The sequence below is a fragment of the Homo sapiens genome, chromosome X (genome assembly GCF_000001405.40).
Source record: "Homo sapiens chromosome X, GRCh38.p14 Primary Assembly".
In the NCBI taxonomy this organism is placed as follows: Eukaryota; Metazoa; Chordata; class Mammalia; order Primates; family Hominidae; genus Homo; species Homo sapiens.
This window is the reverse complement of record NC_000023.11, coordinates 130469836-130473212: the sequence shown is the minus strand read 5'-3', so window position 1 is coordinate 130473212 and position 3377 is coordinate 130469836.

Genomic DNA, 3377 nt, shown 5'->3' with positions numbered 1-3377 from the left:
GTGTACCAAATAAAGAGCTATTAGAAATATGATTAGAGAGTAAAAACAAGATGAAATTTTTAGCTGTGCTTAGTATAGACCCTAAAAAACATCCCTGGTTAGTCTGAAGAAAGTGAGCCTTTAGTTCATATTAATGATAAAATTACTCATAGAATTTTTGAAAATGTAATTCCATTTTTATTTTTTAACTTTTATATTAAGTTCAGGGGTACATGTGCAGGCTTGTTACATATGTAAACTTGTGTCATGGGGGTTTGTTGTACAGATTATTTCATCATCCAAGTATTAAGCCTAGTATTCATTAGTTATTTTTCCTGATCCTCTCCCTCCTCCCTCCACCCTCATGCAGGCCCGTGTCTGTTCCCCTCTTTGTGCCCATGTGTTCTCATCATTTAGCTCCCACTTATCAGTGAGAATATGTGGTATTTGGTTTTCTGTTCCTGTGTTAGTTTGCTAAGGATAATGGCCTCCAGCTCCAACCATGTCCTTGCAAAGGACATGATAGTATTCCTTTTTATGGCTGCATAATATTCCATGGTGTATATGTACTACATTTTCTTTAACCAGTCTATCACTGATGGGCATTTAGGTTGATTCCGTGTCTTTGCTCTTGTGAACAGTGCTTCAGTGAACATATGTGTGCATATGTCTTTATAATAAAATGACATAAAATAAAATATAATAAAATGACAGAAATAAAATGTATATTCCTTCGGGTGTATACCTAGTAATGGGATTGCTTGGTCAAGTGGTATTTCTGTCTTTAGGTCTTTGAGGAATCGCCACACTATCTTCCATAATGGTTGAACTAGTCGACACTCCCACCAACAGTGTATAAGCATTCCTTTTTCTCCACAACCTCACCAGCATCTGTTATTTTTTGACTTCATAATAGCCATTCTGACTGATGTGAGATAGTATCTCCTCGTGGGTTTGATTTGCATTTCTCTAATGATCAGTGATACTGAGCTTTCTTCATATGATTATTGGCCACATGTATGTCTTCTTTTGAAAAGTGTTCATATCCTTTGTCCACTTTTTTATAGGGTTGTGGTGTCGGAAAGTATTACAAGTCAGTTTTTTTTGCAACAAAAGCAAAAATGGACAAATGGAATCTAATTAAACTAAAGAGCTTCTTGCACAGCAAAAGAAACTATCAACCGAGTAAACAGACAACCTGTAGAATGGGATAAATTTTTTGCAAACTATGCATCTGGCAAAGGTCTAATATCCAGAGTCTACAAGGGTCTTAAACAAATTTATAAGAAAAAGAAAACACTCATAAAATTTTTAAGATGCCAAAGTCACGTATTTGTTCAAAATTGCAAAAATGCTTCAAACCAGAAAGCCATGCTGCTAGTTTGAAGCCTGCACCTGGCAAGGAATCTTTGTTTAAATCTCAACTTAGTGTATACACAACTAAAGTGGGAAAAATTGTCTGGATGCTATCAAGAAGGAACTGAAATACAATGAGAAGAATCTAAATCTTAGGGAGAAGGGTCCTCCCAAGAAGTATATAGATACAGTAGTTTTTGATAAAACCGGAAAGGAATTAGGCTGTTGTCACAAAGCTAAACAATGACATTATTGAAAGTTCATTAGTAAATTGTATTTGTGAAGTGTTAAGTGGAAAGACAGATAAAAGCAATGTTCCACTCCCTTCACAGAAGCTGAGGCCTATATTTTCATATGGAATTGTTGACATTGATCAACAAACATTTTCTCATTTTCAGTGCCCTCCTAGGCAAAAGGAAGTTCACAAATGTGCCAAATTACAAGTATTAGATAGAACTGGAGATACTTTATATGACATGTAATCGGAGCTCGTAGAAGATCATTCACATTCTCCCCATCTGATAGTGAACCAGAGAGTGGATCGATGAGAATTTAAGAACAATCACTGCATTGCAGCCTGATATTCAGCTCATTTCTCATACAATTCTAGAATATATCATTACACGATTGTGTAGTGCTGAGGTGGATAGCAGTTTCACAAGTTCAGAATTTAAAGCTATCTTGGAGTATATTGACCCTGACAGCTTATCATTTGCTTCACTTATTGAGGAAATGAGCAGATGCTCTGATATAATCTCCAGCATGGTGTCCAGGGGGATCCAGCAAGGCAGTCAAGAGACAACTACCAATAAGGGGAAAACTACTGCCCCTGAAACAGGGAAAGAGGGAGCACAAAATAAAAGTATCCAAATAAATGAAAAGTTGTGACTTCATATATCATTGAAATGGTTTTTGCTAAATTGGAAGGGCTTGCCAAAAGAAATTTTATAACTGTGGGTACTATAATCAATGGAAATAAAAAGAGCAACAAGACAGACGGGGAAAGTGAAAGTTCCAACATTTGAGCTAACGCACATCAAGAACTATTGCAGTCCACTTTACACATTCATACAAAGAAGGTATCAAGTGCAATTTTGAAGGCTATTCAAACCAAATTAAATGTGAGCTTGCCAGATTTGGAAATGTGTACACGACCCACTACAAGAGAAACAAATGCTTAAGAAGCTAGTCATTTTAATTTGGGATGGAATGCCTCCACATACGTTTAATGAAACTGAAGCAGAAAACAGAGACATTGAAAATTACAGATAAAGGCCAGCCTACAGAAATTTTCTTCCTGGAGGAGCTGGACCAGAGTCATATCTAGAAGATTCTGCAGATACAGAGAAAGAAAGTGCTGGAGAGAAAAGACCTCCAAAAGAAGAAACTAAATCAGAGTCTCTTGAGCAAGAGGAATTGAAAAGAACACTGAAAAAAATTAAAGTAGAACTCAAAGAGCCAAAAAGTCCCCAATTGTGTCCATTATAAGAAATATTTTGAATGGAAATCTTAAGAATGATTTTATTGATCAGTTAAATGTTCTTCCTCTCCTCCAGTCCCATTTATATGACATTCCGCATGCTGGAAGTGAGCCAGTTGCTCAGACATCTGTTCAATCCCTGGAATAAAACAATGGATTCTTTAGTGCTTGAAGCAGATGTAATCATTGTTGCAAATAATGTTGTTAGAACCATATTTCAAAAACCGTATTCCACTGCTGTGACAGACATAATGCAAATGAAAATAAGTGTAACACTATCACCATTCCAGCAAATATCTCTTTTCCTGAATACACCAGTGGAGGAAAAGCCTCTGTTTATTCCACCCTGCTGGACAGAAATCCACGTATGCTTCAGGCCAGATTCAATAGTGATAAACTAACCAAAGGAAATCTAGTTGAAGATATTATACAGTCAATATTAGCACATTTTGAAATGTTTACTGCTTCCAAAGTAAAATGTCTCCTTTTTCCTCATATCAATGTCACAGTTCCAATGACTTTACCTTTACAACAGTATACAACTGCTTTAAGTCAATCATGG